At 46.0% G+C, this 19,699-nt stretch overlaps 1 pseudogene; it reads left to right on the top strand.

The window, feature by feature from the left end:
* Nucleotides 12,390-12,675, top strand: RN7SL557P (RNA, 7SL, cytoplasmic 557, pseudogene; annotated as a pseudogene).

The raw sequence follows: 19,699 nt of genomic DNA, 5'->3' as shown, positions 1-19,699 counted from the left end.
AAAACAGTGGCATGATTAAGTGGGACCCCAGCCATCAGCCCAGTGCAGAGGGCGCTGCATTGCTAGCCTCTGGCTGAAAGTACAAAGTCATACCCATAGGTGGGCAGGACGTTCTTAGCTAGAAGAAGAAGGGAAGTCTAGTGGCACCAGCTTCTCATGGGAGCAGTGGGATCCCAGACAGGAGTCATGGATGGGGTGGACAGAAACAAGGCAGAGGGTTAAGACTTCAGCCAAGTGACTGTGTAGTCAGGAGCTGGCTCATTAAATAAAAAACAGAAGCTGATGTCGGGCATGGTGGCTTACGCCTGGGGGAGGCTGAGAGGGAAGGATCACTTGAGCCCAGGAGTTCAAGACCAGCCCAGGAAACATAACAAGACCCTACCATCCATGTAAAAAAAAAATAAAATAAAATTTTGGCCAGGTGTGGTGGCTCACATCTGTAATCCCAGCACTTTGGGAGGCTAAAGCGGGTGGATCACTTGAGGTCAGGAGTTCAAGACCAGGCTGGCCAACATGGTGAAACCTTGTCTCTACTAAAAATTCAAAAATTAGCGGGGCATGGTGGTTCATGCCTGTAATCCCAGCTACTTGGGAGGCTTAGGCAGGAGAATTGCTTGCACCTGGGAGGCGGAGGTTGCAGTGAGCCAAGATCACGTCATTGCACTCCAACCTGGACAACCGGAGCAAAACTCCATCTCAAAAAAAAAAAAAAATTTAATTTGCCGGGTATGGTGGTGCATACCTGTGGTCCCAGCAACTTGGGAGGCTGAGGCAAGAGGATCGCTTGAGTCCAGGAGTTTGAGGCTGCAGTGAGACATGATCGCACCAGTGCACTCCAGCCTGGGCAACAGAATGAGGCCCTATCTCAAAAACAATAATAATGATAATAATAATAATAATAATAATAATAATAAGGCCACCCAGAAGCTGAAAGCTAATTGAAGGTATCAGTGTGAGTTGGGGTGGGGTTTAAATTAAGAACACAGGTCTGGATGTCAATGGTAGCCCCAGGAACAGTGGATTCTGGCTTTATTTTATTTAGTCCACCCAACAACTGTGTGAGGTAGGGATCATAATTATCACCCCCATTTTACAGACAAGGGAGCTGAGACCCAGAGAGGTAAAGGACCACACACATGAGTAGTGGAGATGGAATTCAACCAAGCCTGTAAGTCTGTTTTCACAGCCAGTACTGTTTTTTTTTTGAAATGGAGTTTCACTCTTGTTGCCCAGGCTGGAGTGCAATGGTGCGATCTCAGCCCACCGCAACCTCCGCCTCCCGGGGTTCAAGCGATTCCTCTGCCTCAGCCTTCCGAGTAGCTGTGACTACAGGCGCCCGCCACCATGCCTGGCTAATTTTTGTGTTTTTAGTAGAGATGGGTTTTCACTATGTTGGCCAGGCTGGTCTCAAACTCCTGACCTCGTGATCTGCCTGCCTCAGCCTCCCAAAGTGCTGGGATTACAGGTGTGAGCCACCATGCCCAGCCCCAGTACCTTATTTCTTTTTATTCTTCAAACGTGGTAAAATATCATCTTAATATATATATATATATATGTTTTATATATATAGGTTTTTTATATATATATATTTTTGGTTATATATATATACATATTTTGGTTTGGCAACTCACTGCAAACTATTTTATTTCCACAATCATGATTACACATATATACAGATAGAGTAGAAATGCACATTAGTATAGCTATATGTCTAAATTCTAAATAATCATATCCTTCTGTTTAGGGGAAATACAAACAATCCTGTTGACCTAAATCATAAGAATTTTTTTTTTTTGAGACAGGGTTTCATTCTTGTTGCCCAGGCTAGAGTGCAACAGCAATATCGGCTCACTGCAACCTCCATCTCCTGGGCTCAAGTGATTCCCCTGGCTCAGCCTTCCAAGCAGCTGGGATTACAGGTGCCTGCCACCACGCCCAGCTAATTTTTTGTATTTTTAGTAGAGACAGGGTTTCATTATGTTGGCCAGGCTGGTCTCGAACTCCTGACCTCAAGCAATCCGCCCACCTCGGCCTCTCACAGTGCTGGGAGGTGTATACAAATTGCTACTGGTGTATATTACAGGTGTATACAAATCACTACTGGGTAAAATAGTTTCCTCTTAAAGATAAGGCATACCTTGTTTTTTTCAAGTGATTCTTCATTTATGGCCAAGAGTGAATACTTCGCAAGAATCAAAATACACAGTTCTTTGATAACCCATAGGTTTTTTAAAGGAGTCCTTTTAGACTCATACACTCACATGGAAATTTATATTGATGTTTACACTCGTGAGTTAAAGATGTCTAAATAAGGCCAGACATGGTGGCTCATGCCTGTAATCTCAGCACTTTGGGAGGTCGAGGCCGGTGGATACCTGAGGTCAGGAGTTCGAGACCAGCCTGGCCAACATGGCGAAACCCCGACTGTACTAAAAATACAAAAATTAGCCGTGCGCGGTGGCACATGCCTGTAATCTCAGCTACTGGGGAGGCTGAGGCAGGAGAATCGCTTGAACCTGGGAGGTAGAGGTTGTAGTGAGCCCAGATCGTGCCACTGCATCCCAGCCTGGGCAACAGATTGAGACTCCATCTTAAAAAAAAAAAAAAAAAAAAAAAAAAAGATGTCTAAACAGTTGTTGGAGCTCAGAAAATGATACCCTAAAATGAAGGCCTCAGAAATAAAAGTTTTTCTCTGCCCTCTTGCCCTCCTGTCTCTGGCCCCTCTTCCTCCACCCGAGGCAAGTCATAGAAACTAGAATCCTTCTTCCCTAAGGCTGGTGATAGAAACCAGATCCCCTTTTCCCCCAAGCCAGCCATAAAACCTAAAAGTGTTACTCTATATTTTACTCTGCCTTTCGGTATTAAAACTGACCCAGAATTTATCTGACCTCTCTTGTTAGAGTGTAGCTCATAAGACCCCCATTCCAGAGAGGGTCGCGCCCCACATCAACAAGGAAGGAGCTGCTCAGAGAGGCTAAGGAGAATCCGGACAGACAGGCCGTGCAGGGTTTCCCCACTCAGTGTATTAGCAGTACATCAGACCCTTTTTGTCCAACCCTATTTCTATACGGCTGTCCATACTTTGTTGAACCTAAGCTTAAAAATGGACAATTGCCCCTGTATCTTTGGGTCTTCATTCCGCAGGCTCCCATGTCACATAAAGCGATGATCAAATAGCTGTATATGCCTTTTCCCCTACTCATCTGCCTCTTGTCAGTGATTTTCAGCAAACCTTCAGAGGGCAAAGGGGAAGTTTTCCTTTGGCCGCTACATCGTGTTAGGAAAACTAGGTAACCTCATATAAAAAACAAACAAAAAAAACTAAAGTTGGATCTCTGCCTCCTTCTTTAGCTCAAAATAAATTCTAAATGAACCAAAGGTTAAAATGTAAAATAGGGACCATAAAAGCACTAAAATAAAACATGGGTGGATGTCTTTGTAGTCATGAGAGGGAGAGGCTTGACATGAATACTAGACACTTCTCATAAACAGAAGGATTGATCATCTGAACCAGAGAAAATACAGAATGCTAAATGACGAGTTGATGGGTGCAGCACACCAACATGGCACATGTATACATATGTAACAAACCTGCACGTTGTGCACATGTACCCTAAAACTTAAAGTATAATAATAATAAATAAATAAATAAATAAATAAATAAAAAGAAAATACAGAACACGGGGCCAGGCCCGGTGGCTCATGCCTGTAATCCTAGCACTTTGGGAGGCCAAGGCTGGCCACCATGTTGGCCAGGCTGGTCTCAAACTCCTGACCTCAAGTGATCTGCCCGCCTCAGCTTCCCAAAGTGCTAGGATTACAGGCGTGGGCCACTGCACCCAGTGATAGTTTTTTTTTTTTTAACCTACACATGACAAAATAAATAAAGCAGTAACGGATTATAACCCAAGGTATACAACAAGCATCCATGAATCCATACTGATAAAAATAAATTATTGAATAAATTTTTAAATGAGGGGCCAGGAGCGGTGGCTCATACCTGTAATCCTAGCCTCAGCCTCCCAAAGCACTGAGAATACAGGTGTGAACCACTGTGCCCAGTCAAAAACATTTTTCTATTTTTTATTATTTTTTTTAAGACAGAGTCTCTGTCACCCAGGTTGGAGTGCAGTGGCCCAGTCTCAGCTCACTGCAACCTCCGCCTCCAGGTTCAAGTAATTCTCCTGCCTCAGCCTGCCAAGTAGCTGGGAAGAGCGCACTACCACACCCAGCCAATTTTTGTACTTTTAATAGAGATGGGGTTTCGCCATGTTGGTGAGGCTGGTCTCAAACTCCTGACCTCAAATGATCCGCCTGCTTTGGCCTCCCAAAGTGTTGGGATTACAGGTGTGAGCCACTGTGCCCAGCCAAAAAAATTGCTTTTTATTTTAAAGATAAGATTTTATAAAAATTCTAAAGCAGCTATAGATGAAAAAAAGCCGACACACACACAATGATAAAAGACAGAAAGTCAACTAGGAAAATATTTGCCACACATATGACAGACATAGTTCTAATTAATTTCTTAACTGACAAAGAGTATTCATATATTATTAAGAAAAGGACAACCCCAGCCGGGCACGGTGGCTCATGCCTGTAATCCCAGCACTTTGGGAGGCCGAGGCAGGCGAATCACGAGGTCAGGAGATCGAGACCATCCTGGCTAACATGGTGAAACCCCGTCTCTACTAAAAATATAAAAAAATTAGCCGGGTGTGGTGGCGGGCACCTGTAGTCCCAGCTACTCAGGAGGCTGAGGCAGGAAAATGGTGTGAACCCGGGAGGCGGAGCTTGCAGTGAGCCAAGATCGCTCCACTGCACTCTAGCCTGGGTGACAGAGCAAGACTCCGACTCAAAAAAAAAAAAAAAATCCAAATGTAATAGAAAAATGCAATCACAAAGGTAACTTTGAACAAACATTTCTGAATAATTCTGTATTCTAACTTATGAGTACAAGAAAATGTTGGTATGCTATTTGTACTTTTTTTTTTTTTTTGAGACGGAGTCTCACTCTGTCACCCAGGCTGGAGTGCAGTGGTGCGATCTCATCTCACTGCAACCTCTGCCTGCCAGGTTCAAGCCATTCTCCTGCCTCAGCCTCCTGAGTAGCTGGGGCTACAAGCGTGCACCGCCACACCCGGCTAATTTTTGTATTTTTAGTAGAGACGGGATTTCACCATATTGGTCAGGCTGGTCTCGAACTCCTGACCTCATGATCTGCCTACCTCAAGCCTCCCAAAGTGATGGGATTACAGGCTTGAGCCACTGTGCCCAGCCGCCTGGCTAATTTTTGTATTTTTTAGTAGAGACAGGGTTTCAACATGTTGGCCAGGCTGGTCTCGAACTCCTGACTTCAAGTGATCCACCCACCTTGGCTTCCCAAAGTGCTGGGATTACAGGCGTGAGCCACCATTCCCGGTTCAGTCCTTCCAGATTTTCTAAATTCTACTCTGTCATTAAATCCAGCTTCCCAGAGCTAAATAATCAGACCGCATTGCTTTGGCCTCATAGAATCACCTTCATGGAATTTCACTTCGGCATTAAGTCATCAGTTGCATCCAAGGACCCTGGGGCATCAGCTACAAACCCAGGTCCACGAACATGCGAATCACAGGGATCTCACTGAGGGTTTCTGGGTGAAGCTTCTCCAGGGTCTCCTGCAGGAACAGCTGTGCCTCTCTTGAGCATGTGGCTGGCTGTAATTTTATGGAAACTGAATCATGTTTCAATCCTTGAGAGGGAGGACTTGGGGGAAGTCAAATTTATGGCCCACTTCCAGCATCTATGCGAGACAATGAAATGTGCACATCCGTGGGCTAATAACTCCTGGCATTTAAAACAAAACAAAATGAACAAACAAAAAAAGCCTCATGTTCAAACTTCCCCGAGCATTTGTTTGTTTGTTTGTTTTTCTGTTGTATAGTTTTTTTTGTTTTTTTGTTTTGTTTTGAGACAGTCTCGCTCTGTCGCCAGGCTGGAGTGTGGTGGCACAATCTCAGCTCACTGCAACCTCCATCTCCTGGGTTCAAGTGATTCTCCTGCTTCAGTCTCCTGAGTAGCTGGATTACAGGCAGTAGCCACCACCCCCGGCTAATTTTTTGTATTTTTAGTAGAGATGGGGTTTCACCATGTTGGCCAGGATGGTGTCGATCTCTTGACCTTGTGATCCGCCTGCCTCAGCCTCCCAAAATGCTGGGACTACAGGAGTGAGCCACCATGCCCATCCTGTTGCTGTAGTTTTATCAGGTATCTCAATTCCCCTTGTAGAACAAGGAGGGATATAAAGAAATAAACCAAAATATAAATATATCTCCTGCCCATAACAGATGCTTTATTCATGATCAGATATCCACTTCTCCCACCCAAAAATGAAAGGCATAAAAGCCTCTAAGATGGAATCCCTTGAGTCAGGAGTTTGAGGATGCAGAAAGCTGTGATTATGCCACCGCACTCCAGCCTGGGTGAGACAGTGAGACCCCATCTCTTAAGAAAACAAAACAAAAAATAACAATAAGATGAAAAAATATCGTTTGACCCTGCCTCAAACTTCATAAATTTTCTGACGTTATAGAAACCTATTCTCAGCTGGGCACGGTGGCTCACGCCTGTAATCCCAGCACTTTGGAAGGCCAAGGAGGGCAGATCACTTGAGGTCAGGAGTTCGAGACCAGCCTGATCAATATGGTGAAACCCCATCTCTACTAATTATACAAAAATTAGTCAGGCATGGTGGTTGGCACCTGTAATTCCAGCTACTCGGGAGACTGAGGCAGGAGAATCGCTTGAACCTGGGAGGAGGAGGTTTTGGTGAGCTGAGATTGCGCCACTGCATTCCAGCCTGGGCAACAGAGGGAGACTCTGTCTCAAAACAAAACAAAACACAAAACAAACCAATTCTCTGCACGCTACAGTGAACACAACCAAAATGACTTCACACTGGGTAGCCGATGATCTAAAAGTCCTGTGTATTTTGCCCATCTTGTATTATAAAAGCTCGAAAGCCAGATATTCTATTTCCCACCGTCTCTTCCAAATAGATTTAGTTCTAGGGTTGCCAGATTTAGCAAAAAAAAAAAAAAAAAAATACAGAACGCCCAGTTAATTTGAATTTCAGGTAAACAACACATAATGTTTTTAGTGTAAGTATACTGCAAATTTCAGGTAAACAACACATTATTTCTTTAGTGTATGCATGTGCCAAATATTACATGGGTCCCAGTTATATATTTTTTTAATTATGTGTTCTTTACTGAAATTCTATTTAACTGGGCATTCTGTATTTCATTTGGCAACCCTACCCAGTTCTTAGCATGAGATACAGAGGGAAGTCTATTAGGCATATTTGGGAACAATTTTATTCTGGATAAAAAAGACAGAAACCACTGAAAAAAAAAAAAGACCCATCTTTTTTCCTGCCATGAATGCAGTTATGATGCCTGGCACTCTGGGAGCTACTTTGTGATCATGAGGCAACAAGCTGAAGATGAAAAGTCAACATGCTGTCCAGGCGCAGTGGCTCACCCCTGTAATCCCAGCACTTTGGGAGGCCGAGGCAGGTGGATCACTTGAAGCCAGCAGTTCGAGACCAGCCTGACCAACAGGGTGAAATCCCATCTCTACTGAAAAATAAAACAAAACACACACAGAAAAAACAATGAAAATTAGCTGGGCATGCTGACGCATGCCTATAATCCCAGCTACTCAGGAAGTTGAGGCACTTGAATCATGTTTCAATCCTTGAGAGGACTTGGGGGGAAGTCAAATTTGTGGTCTACTTCCAGCATCTGTGCGAGACAATAAAATGTGCACATCTGTGGGTAATATAACTCACCGATTATATTAGGGAGGCAGAGGTTGCAGTGAGCCAAGATCACGCCACTGCACTCCAGCCTGGGCGAGAGAGTGAGACCCTGTCTCCAAAAAAAGAAAAAAAGTCAACATGCCAAGGAAGACAGAGCAGAAGGCATGAATCCAAGCTCTTGGTGGCATTCATCAATTAATGGCGTATTCCTGAAACCATTTAGATAGTGCATTTCAAAAGCCGTTTCTGCAACTAAGTATTCAAAAGCCTCACTAAGAACTGTAAGACTTTTGAGGAGAGGGTCATTCTTCATCAACAGCATCAAGGGGTGCCCAGAAAAGGAGAAATAAGCCAACCTGACAAATGGGAAGAAATGAGACCCCACACCTTCATGTAATGGTGGTGCTGGGGGAAAAGAAAAAGATTTTATGTGCTATTAAGGGCAGGGAGAAAGGAGACACATATAACATAGCAGTCAAAAGCACAGGCTCTAAAGCCAACCTGCCTGGTTTCAAATTCAGTTCCATCATTGATTGGCTGTATGACCTTGGACAAATTACACAATTTCCACATACCCTTATTTCCTCATGTTTAAAATGAGAATAAGGCTGGGCACAGTGACTCACGCCTGTAATCCGAACACTTTGGGAGGCCAAAGCAAGAGGACGGCGTGAGCCCAGGAGTTCAAGACAAACCTGGGCAACACGGTGAGACCCCATCTATACAAAATATAAAAAATCAGTCAGGCATGGTGGCATATGCCTGTAGTCCTAGCTAATTAGACTTGGGAGGTTGAGGTGGGAGGATCCGTTGAGCCCAAAGTGGTTGCAATGAGCTGCGATTATGCCACTGCGCTCCAACATGGGTGACAGGAGTGAGGCCCGGTCTCAAAAAAAAGTGAGGATTAAAACAAACTGACGTGGAGTTGTTATAGGGACGGAATAAATTAACACAAGCAATTAGAAGCACAAATATGCAATTGGTTAGTAATGACGGAAGACACGGGTATACAGGCATGCTCTCTTGCGAATGCGAATCCATCTGCCTAGGGGACTTTGTATGACAGTCTCAGGAAAGCTTCCTCGGCCAGCTTAAATGGAAAAGCTGCTTCTCTTTTTTTCTTTTTCTTTTTCTTTGAGACGGAGTCTTGCTCTGTTGCCCAGGCTGGAGTGCAGTGGTGCGATCTCAGTTCACTGAGAGCTCAACCTCCGCTTCCTGGGTTCAAGTGATTCTCGTGCCTCAGCCTCCTGAGTACCTGGGATGACAGGTGTGCGTCACCATGCCGCGCTAAGGCTAGTTTTGTTGTTGTTGTTGTTTTTGAGGCAGAGTCTCACTCTGTCGCCAGGCTGGAGTGCAGTGGTGCGATCTCGGCTCACTGCAACCTCCACCTCCCGGGTTCAAGCAACTCTCCTGCCTCAGCCTCTGGAGTAGCTGGGACTACAGGCACGTGCCACCATGCCCAGCTAATTTTTGTATTTTAGTAGAGACGGAGTTTCACCATGTTGGCCAGGATGGTCTCGATCTCTTGACCTCATGATCCACCCGCCTCGGCCTCCCAGAGTGCTGGGATTACAGGCGTAAGCCACCACGCCTGGCCTAATTTTCTTTTTTTTTTTTTTAATAGAGACAGGGTTTCACCATGTTGGCCAGGCTGCTCTCGAACTCCTGACCTCAAGTGATCCGCCTGCTTTGGCCTCCTAAAGTGCTGGGATTACAGGCATGAGCCACTGCACCCAGCCAATAAGCTGCTTTTGTTAGGTGAATCCATGGCTTTCCCACATAAAGGTTGCCATACCTTACAGTAAGGCATATTTGACAGTCCTCCAAAAGAATGAAAGCTCCTTAAGGGCATATGTCATGTCTGTCTTGCTTATACAGTAGGTGCTTATCTTTCATTGAATAAAATAATAAAATAATGAAAGGAGCCAGGTGCAGTGGCTCACACCTGTAATCCCAGCACTTTGGGAGGCCGAGGAGGGCAGATTGCCTGAGGTCAGGAGTTCAAGACCACTCTAGCCAACATGGTGAAACCCCGTCTGTACTAAAAATACAAAAATTAGCTGGGTGTGGTGGCGCACACCTGTGATCCCAGCTACTCAGGAGGCTGAGGTAGGAGAATTGCTTGAACCTGGGAGGCAGAGGTTGCAGTGAGCTGAGATCATGCCATTGCACTCCAGCCTGGGCAACAGAGCAAGACTCCATCTCGAGGAAAAAAAAAAAATGAAAGGGTCAAGGAAGTTTGCATTTGGGGTGGGCTTTGAAGGTGGGCAGGGTTGCAGGCATGAACTCTGGGGAAAGCACAGGCCAAGGAGAGAGGCTGGCATTAGATACAGCCTGGCGGCACCTGGTTTTTTGACTAGAAAATAAGACTACATGTAAGATGAGGCCCAATCACAGAGCATCTTCCTTGCCTTGTTAAGAGTTGGGCGTTCAGGCATTAAGCAAAGAGGCAGCTTTGACAGTCTTTGGTCACTGGAATGATGTGCTCAGGGCTTCAGGGGACAGGTTTGTTGTCTACAGGAATGCAGGAGGCTGAGAACAAAGGCCAAAAAGATTCTTGTGAGACAGAAGACTGAGTCTGGGTGGCAGCAGTACAGTAGAGACAGTTATGATAAACACGCTGATTGAGGAAAAGGAACCAAACATGGCCTCCTAGCCAGTGAGGAGAACAAGGAGAAGCAAGGAGTCGATGACTCTGAGGATGCTGAGTGGAGTGGAGGTCCTGCTGGGAAGGAATTCAAAGCTCATTAAAGAAGAGCTATTTAGGGCCAGGCGTGGTGGCTCATGCCTGTAATCCCAGCACTTTGGGAGGCCAAGGAGGGTGGATCACCTGAGGTCAGGAGTTCGAGAGCAACCTGGCCAACATGGCAAGACCTCATCTCTACTAAAAATGCAAAAATTAGCTGGATGTGGTGACTCATGCCTGTAATTCCAGCTACTCAGAGGTTGAGGCAAGAGAATCGCTTGAACCTGCGAGGTGGAGGCTGCAGTGAGCTGAGACTATACCACTGCACTCCAGCCTGGGTGACACAGCAAAACTCCGTCTCAAAAAAAAAAAAAGAAAAGAAAAGTAAAGTTATTTAGGAGAGGGGGAAAGATGTATTTGGTTTTAGAAATGTTGTTTGAGAAGCTGGTGAGTCACCTAAGAGGAGGTTAAGATAGGCTCCTGGGAATTCCATCTAGGAGACATCAGACTTTTCCCTCTGTTTGGTTAATTAGGGTTAAGATCCAGGTTTCAGGCCGGCCACGGTGGCTCACACCTGTAATCACAGCACTTTGGGAGGCCAAAGCGGGTGGATGACCTGAGGTCAGGAGTTCGAGGCCAGCCTGGTCAACATGGAGAAACTCCATCTCTACTAAAAATACAAAAATTAGCTCGGCATGGTGGCGCTTGCCTGTAATCCCAGCTACTAGGGAGGCTGAGGTGGGAGGATTGCTTGAACCCGAGAGGCAGAGGTAGCAGTGAGCTGAGATTGTGCCACTGCACTCCACCCTGGGTGACAGAGCAGGACTCTGCCTCAAAGAAAAAAAGAAAAAAGATCAAGGTCTCAGATAAGCTTTGGAGTCTGAAGCCTATGGTGAGAACAGCTAGAGAGAAGATGAATAAGGAAACAGAGGACAGGAACAACACTGTGAACAAACTGGACCTAACAGACATGTGCAGGACACTCCACACACATGCAGCGAATGCATGTTTAATTAATACCAATTCTTCTCAAACTAATTCAAAAGAAAAAAGAAAAAGGAGGAAACACTTCCTAACTGATTCTAAAAGCATGGCCCCAGTACCAAAGCTAAATGAAGACCCTGGAAGAAGATTACAGACTAATATCTCATATAAAGATTGAGGCCGGGTGTAGTTGCTCACGCCTGTAATCCCAGCAGCACTTTGGGAGGCCGAGGCAGGTGGATCATTTGAGATCAGGAGTTCAGGACCAGCCTAGCCAACATGGTGAAACCCCGTCTCTACTAAAAATACAAAAATTGGCCAGGCATGGTGGCTCACGCCTGTAATCCCAGCACTTTGGGAGGCCAAGGCGGGTGGATCACTAGGTCAGGAGTTTGAGGCCAGCCTGGCCAACACAGTGAAACCCCGTCTCTACTAAAAATACAAAAAATTAGCCAGGCGTGGTGGCGGGCGCCTGTAATTCCAGCTACTCAGGAGGCTGAGGCAGGAGAATCACTTGAACCCAGGAGGCAGAGGTTGCAGTGAGCCAAGATGGTGCCATTGCACTCCAGCCTGGGTGACAAAAGTGAAACTCCATCTCGAAAAAAAAAAATTAGCCGGGCGTGGTGGCACATGCCTGTAATCCCAGCTACTCAGGAGGCTGAGGCACGAGAATCGCTTGAACCTTGAAGGTGGAGGTTGCAGTGAACAAGATTGTGTCACTGCACTCCAGCCTGGGCAACAGAGTGAGACTCTGTCTCAAAAAAGAAAAGAACATTACTAGGCTGGTTGTGGTGGCTCAAGCCTGTAATGCCAGTACTTTGGGAGGCTGAGGCAGGCAGATTGCTTGAGTTCAGGAGTTTGAGACCAGCCTGGGCGACATGGCGAAACCTCATCTCTACAGAAAAAATATCAAAAAAAGCCAGGCATGGTGGCAACATGCCTGTCATCCCAGCTACTGAAGAGGCTGAGGTGGAAAGATCACTTGAGCTGGGGAGTTGGAGGCTGCAGTGAGCCGTGATCAAGCCACTGAACTCCATGCTGAGCGACAGAGTGAGACCTTGTCTCAACAACAATAATAAAAAAGATGGATACAAAAATCCTCAACGAAAATTCTAGAAAACTGTCGCTCAGCGTGGAGTTCAGTGGCTTGATCACGGCTCACTGCAGCCTCCAACTCCCCAGCTCAAGTGATCTTTCCACCTCAGCCTCTTCAGTAGCTGGATGATAGGCATGTTGCCACCACGCCTGGCTTTTTTTGGTATTCTAGCAAACTGAACTCAGCAGTATATTAAAAGAATTATATGCCATGACCAAGTGGAATTATTCCTGGAGTGGCCCAATGTACAAAAATCAACCGATGTAATGTACCACATTAACCAAAGGGGAAAAAAAAACACACACACACACAATCATCTCAATTGATATAAACAAAAATTTGAGAACATTTATATCCTTTCATGATTTAAAAAGCACTCAACGAAATTAGAAATAGGAAATTAATTCAATATAATAAAGACTATTTATTTATGAGGCAGGATTTTGCTATGTTGTCCAGGCTGGAGGGCAGTGGCATGATCATTACTCACTGTAACCTCAAACTCCCGGGCTCAAGCTATCATCCTGCCTCAGCCTCCAAGTAGCTAGGCATGCACCACCATGCCCAGCTAATTTTTTAGTTTTTTGTAAACAAAGAGTCTTCCTATGTTGCCCAGACTGATCTCAAACTCCTGACCTCAAGCAATCCTCCCACCTCAGCCTCCCAAACTGCTGGGATTACAGGCAGGAGCCACCATACACAACCTGACCATATAAAAAAACCCACAGCTAATATCATACTCAACAACGAAAGACTAAAAGCTTTTTCTCCAATAGCAGGCATAAGACAAGGATGTCCACTTTTTACTACTTCTATTCAATATCGGATTGAAGGTAGACAGAGAAATTGTGCAAGAAAAACAAAGAGAAGGCATCCAAAATGGCACAGAAGTAACATTATGTCTGTCATGATCTTATATATAAGAAATCCAGGCCGGGCGTGGTGGCTCACGCCTATAATTCCAGCACCTTGGGAGGCTAAGGCAAGCAGATCACCTGAGGTCAGGAGTTCGAGACCAGTCTGGCCAACATGGTGAAACCCCGTCTCTACTGGAAATACAAAAATTAGCTGGGTGCGGTGTTGTGCACCTGTAGTCCCAGCTACTCGGGAGGCTGAGGCAGGAGAATCGCTTGAGCCTGGGAGGCGGAGGTTGCAGTGAGCAGAGATCGCACCATTGTACTCCAGCCTGGGCAACAAGAGCAAGACTCCATCTCAAAAAAAAAAAAAAAGAAAAAGAAAAAGAAAAGAAAAGAAAAGAAAAAAAGAACAAATATTGTTCTTTCGAAAGATTTCACGTACAGGAATATCTGAGAGATATTGCAGGTTTAGTTCCAGATCATCTCAATAAAGTGAATATCACATGAATTTTTTGGTTTCCCAGTGCATATAAATGTTATGTTTATGCTATACTGTATTCTATTACGTGTGCAATAGTATTATGTCTTTAAGATGTGCATGCCTTACTTTAAAAATACGTTATTGCTTTAAAAATGCTAATGATCATCTGAGCCTTCAGCAAGTCATCATCATTTGGCTGGTGGAGAGTCTTGCTTTGATGTTGATGGTTGCTGGTTGAGCAGGGTGGTGGTTACTGAAAGATCAGTGAATGGCTGTGCAGACAACAATGAAGTTTGCCTCATTGGTTGACTCTTCCTTTCCCGAAAGATTTCTGTGGCGAGAGAGGCTGTTTTACAGCATTTTACTCACAGTAGAACTTCTTTCAAAATTGGAGTCATTCCTTTTAAACTTTGCTGCTGCTTTATCAACTAAATTTGTGTAACATCTTAAATCCCTTATTGTCATTTCAACAATGTTCACAGCATCTTCAAGGATGTAGGAGTAGATTCTATCTCAAGAAACCACTTTCTCTGCTCATTCATAAGTAGCAATTCCTCATCCGTTGAAGTCTGATCATGAGATTGCAGCAATTCAGTCACATCTTTATGCTCCATTCCTAATTCTAGTTACCTTGCTATTTCCACCACATCTGCAATTCCTTCCTCTACTGAAGTCTTAAATGCCTCAAAATCATCCATGAGGGCTGGAATCAACTTCATCCAAACCCATTAAGGTTGATATTTCGACCTCCTCCCATGCATTACTAATTTTTTTTTTTTTTTTTTTTTTGAGACGGAGTCTAGCTCTGTGGCCCAGGCTGGAGCGCAATGGCGTGATCTCGGCTCACTGCAACCTCCGCCTCCCGGGCTCAAGCAATTCTCCTGCCTCAGCCTCCTCAATAGCTGGGATTACAGGCATGTCCCACCACACCCGGCTAATTTTTGCATTTTTAGTAGAGAAGGGGGTTTCACCATGTTGGCCAGGCTGGTCTTGAACTCCTGACCTCAAATGATTTGCCCATCTCGGCCTCCCAAAGTGCTGGGGTTACAGGCATGAGCCACCGTGCTCGGCTACTAATGTTCTTAATGGCATCTAGAATGGTGAATCCTTTTCAGAAGGTTTCCAATGTACTTTACCCAGATCCATCAGAGAAATCACTACCTATGGTGGCTACAGCCTTACAAAATGTATTTCATTATTATTTTTTTTTTTTTTGAGATGGAGTCTCACTCTGTCGCCCAGGCTGGAGTGCAGTGGCGTGATCTTGGCTCACTGCAACCTCTGCCTCCCAAGTTCAAGCGATTCTCCTGCCTCAGCCTCCCAAGTAGCTGGGACTACTGCCGCCCGCCACTGCGCCGGGTTAATTTATGTATTTTTAGTAGAGACGGGGTTTCACCATATTGGCCAGGCTGGTCTGGAACTCTTGACCTTGTGATCCACCCACCTCGGCCTCCCAAAGTGCTGGGATTACAAGCGTGAGCCACTGCACCTGGCCTTACAAAATACATTTCTAAATAGTAAGACTTGAAAGTCAAAATTACTCCTTGATCCGTGGGGCTGCAGAATGAATGTTGTGTCAGCATGCATGAAAACAGCATTCATCGCCTTGCACATCTCTGTCAGAGTTCTTTGGTGACCAGGTGCACTGTCAATAAGCAATAATATTTTGAAAGTAATTTTTTTTCTCAGTAGTAGGTGTCAACAATGGCCTTAAAATACTCAGTAAACCACACCGTAATCAGATGTGCTGTCACCTGGGCTTTGTTGTTCCATTTCTATAGCACACAGATTTGGCACCTTTTTTTTTTTTTTTTGAGACAGAGTCTCACTCTGTCACACAAACCGGAGTGCAGTGGCACAATCTTGCTTCAGTGCAACTTCCACCTCCCAGGTTCAAGCAATCCTCGTGCCTCAGCCTCCCAAGTAGCTGGGACTACAGGCATGCACCACCACACCCAGCTAATTTTTGTATTTTTTAGTAAAGATGGGGTTTCACCATGTTGGCTCGGCTAGTTTCGAACTCCTGGCCTCAAGCAATCCGCCTGCCTTGGCATGACCCACTGCACCCAGTGGATTTAGCATAATTCTTAAGGGCCCTAGGATTTTCAGAATGGTAAATAAGCACTGACCTTAACTTAATGTCACCAGCTGCATTTCATACTAGACACTAAGAAGTCAGGCTTTCCTATGAAGTTTTGAAGCCAGGCATTGAATTCTCCTCTCTAGCTTTGGAAGTCCTAGATGGCATCCTCTTGCAAGAGAAAGCTGTTTTGCCTACATTGAAAATCTGTTGTTTAGTGTAGCCACCTTCCTTCATCAATGATCTCAGCTGGATCTTCTGGACAACTTGCTTCAGTTTCTCCATCAGCACCTGCTGCTTCACCTTGCACTTTTATGTTATGGAGACGGCTTCTTTCCTTAAACCTCAGGAACCAACCTCTGCTAGCTTCCAACTTTTCTTCTGCAGCTTCCTCTCCTCTCTCAGCCATCACATAATTGAAGAGAGTTAGGGCCCTGCTCTCGATTAGGCTTTGGCTTAAGGGAAGGTTGTGGCTGGTTTGATCTTCTATACAGACCGCTCAAACTTTCTCCATATCGGTAATAATACAGTTTCGCTTTCTTATCATTCATGTGTTCACTGGAGTAGCACTTTTTCATTTCCTCCAAGAACTTTTCCTTTGCATTCACAACTTGGCTGTTTGGCACAAGAGGTCTAGCTTTCGGCCTATTTCAGTTTTTTTTTTTTTTTTTTTTTTTTTCAGATGGAGTCTCACTCTGTCACCCAGGCTGGAGTGCAGTGGTGCCATCTTCGCTCACTGCAACCTCTGCCTCCCAGGTTCAAGCGATTCTCCTGCCTCAAACTCCCAAGTAGCTGGGACTACAGGCGCCTGCCACCACACCAGGCTAATTTTTGTACTTTTAGTAGAGATGAGGTTTCACTATGTTGGCCAGGCTGGTCTCAAACTCCTGACCTCAGGTGATCCGCCCACCTCGGCCTCCCAAAGTGCTGGGATTACAGGCATGAGCCACCACAGCCGACCCTATTTCAGCTTTTGACGTGCCTTCCTCACCAAGCTTAATCATTTCCAGCTTTGATTTAAAGTGAAAGGCATGTGACTCTTTGTGACTCTTCCTTTCACTTGAGCATGTAGAGGCCATTGTAGGGTTATTAACTGGCCTAATTTCAATATCAAATTTGGAATAGGACGGATGGGAGGATCACTTGAACCCGAGTTCAAGACCACCCCTGGCAACATAGGGAGACCCTGTCTCCACAAAAAAAGTTAAAAATAGCCAGGCTTGCTGGTGTGTGCCTGTGGTTCAGTTACTCAGGAGGCTGAGGAAGGAGGATCACTTGAGCCCAAGGAGGTTGAGGCTGCAGAGAGCTATGACTGCACTACTGCACTCCAGCCTGGGAGATGGGGCAAGACCCTTTCTGAAAACAACAACAACAAAAAGTAAACATTGTGGGGCCAGGCACGGCGGCTCACGCCTGTAATCCCAGCACTTTGGGAGGCCGAGGCAGGTGGATCACGAGGTCAGGAGATAGAGACCATCCTGCCTAACGTGGTGAAACTCCATCTCTACTAAAAACACAAAAAAAATTAGCTGGGCATGGTGGCGGGCTCCTGTAGTCCCAGCTACTTGGGAAGCTGGGGCAGGAGAATGGCGTGAATCCGGGAGGTGGAGCTTGCAGTGAGCTGAGATCGCGCCACTGCACTCCAGGCTAGGTGACAGAGCAAGACTCCGTCTCAATAAAAAAAGTAAACATTGTTTCTGCTAATGCTATACATATACCAGAGTTACCCCTTTCCTGTGGTTTTGTTTTCCAAGGTTTCCGTTACCTGAGGTCAGTTGAGGTCCAAAAATAAGTGAGTATAGCTAAGATATTTTCTTTTTTTCCAAGATGGAGTCTTGCTCTGTCATCCAGGCTGGAGTGCAGTGGCGCAATCTCGGTTCACTGCAACCTCTGCCTCCTGGGTTCAAGCAATTCTCCTGCCTTACAGATGCCTGCCACCAAGCCCGGATTTTTTTTTTTTTTTTTTTGTATTTTTAGTAGAGACAGGGTTTCACCATGTTGGCCAGGCTGGTCTTGAACTCCTGACCTTGTGATCTGCCCATCTCAGCCCCCCAAAGAGCTGGAATTACAGGCGGCGGGGCGGTGGGGGGGGGGTTTCACCATGTTGGCCAGGCTGGTCTCGAACTCCTGACTTCAGGATCCACCTGTCTTGGCCTCCCCAAGTGCTGGGATTACAGGCGTGCACCACTGCACTCGGCCAGTTAAGATATCTTCAAAGACCACATTCACATAACCTTAACATATTGCTATAGTTGTTCTTTTTTAAATTGTTGCTAGTCTTACTGCACCTAATTTATACATTTTATCACAGGTATTTATTGATAGGAACACATCCCATCAACTGGCATGCCACTAGAGGTGCAGGGCCCACACTCTAGGGGACACTGATTTAAGGATTCTGAATGGTAGAAGAGAGGCTGTTACCTCTCCAGCAGAGGAGAGCGCTGGGGACTTCTGCAGTGCCACCCTGCACATGCAGGTTCAGGCTCGCAGCGCCAGTCACATAACTTAAGAAGTCCCTGTAGACAAGGTCTACCCATCACTCAGGGAGTTCAGCAGACAGGTATGGGACAAGCCTTATGTTTCTGAAATATGAGGTCATCACTCAGGGGCCCTATGAACCTGTCTCATAACTGCATTGACTTCTAGTTGTGGCTGTAAGTTTAAGCCCCCAACTTGGTGGCTCAAAACACCACAGATCAGTCTGGGCACAGAGGCTCATGCCTGTAATCCCAGCACTTTGGGAGGCCAAGACGGGCGGATCACTTGAGGTCAGGAGTTCGTGACCAGCCTGGCCAACATGGTGAAACTCTATCTCCACTAAAAATACAAAAATTAGACAGGCATGATGGTATGCACCTGTAATCCCAGCTACTTGGGAGGCTGAGGCGGAAGAATCACTTGAACCCGGGAGGCAGAGGGTGCAGTGAGCCGAGATCGCGCCACTGCACTCCAAGCCTGGGCAACAGAGCAAGACTCCATCTAAAAAAAAGAAAAAAAAAAAAAAAAAACCACCACCACAGATGTATTCTCTTACGGCTCTGGAGGTGAGAAATCTGAAATCGATTTCTCTGGGCTAACATCAAGGTGTTGGCAGGCAGTTCCAGCTGGAGGCCAAGGGAGGGTCTGCTGCTATTGCCCTAGGTAGCATCCCCTGGTTGCCCCTGCTTCTTGTCTGGGCCCCTCTGACTCTGACGCCTCGTCTGTCCCTCTAATGAGGACCCCGTGATCCTATCAGGCCCACCTGGATAACCCAGGACCACCTCTTCATCTCAAACCCCTAATCCCATTTGCAAAGCCCCTTTGCCACAGAAGGTAACACACACTCACAGGTTCTGGGGATCAGGACATGGACACTTTAGGGGCCATTCTTCAGCCTGCCACCATGACCAAGATGAAGGAGGCAACTGAGCAGGCCAGTGTGGCCAGGGCGGAGACAGGAGCCCGAGAAGAGCACTAGCCTCACATCTGGTGGAGGACAAGGGTCAGGGAGTGAGGCACAATGTCATGTGCTGCAACAAACAGCATGTGAGGGAGTAGATCCTAAAATGGACTCAAGGTCATGGGCCGGGTGTGACTCACAGGGAGTAAGCCAAGGTCAAAGCAGACTTGGGGTCCTTGGCTTTAGCTAACACAGAGGTGAACCCTGGCCCGCCCAAGCCATGGGGCACGGAACGAGCAGCGGCAGCCAGCAGAGGTCCAACCACAGGCGAC

The sequence above is a fragment of the Homo sapiens genome, chromosome 16 (genome assembly GCF_000001405.40).
Source record: "Homo sapiens chromosome 16, GRCh38.p14 Primary Assembly".
Lineage (NCBI taxonomy): Eukaryota > Metazoa > Chordata > Mammalia > Primates > Hominidae > Homo > Homo sapiens.
The sequence above is the reverse complement of the archived record's forward strand: the minus strand, read 5'-3'. Positions and strand labels throughout refer to the sequence as shown.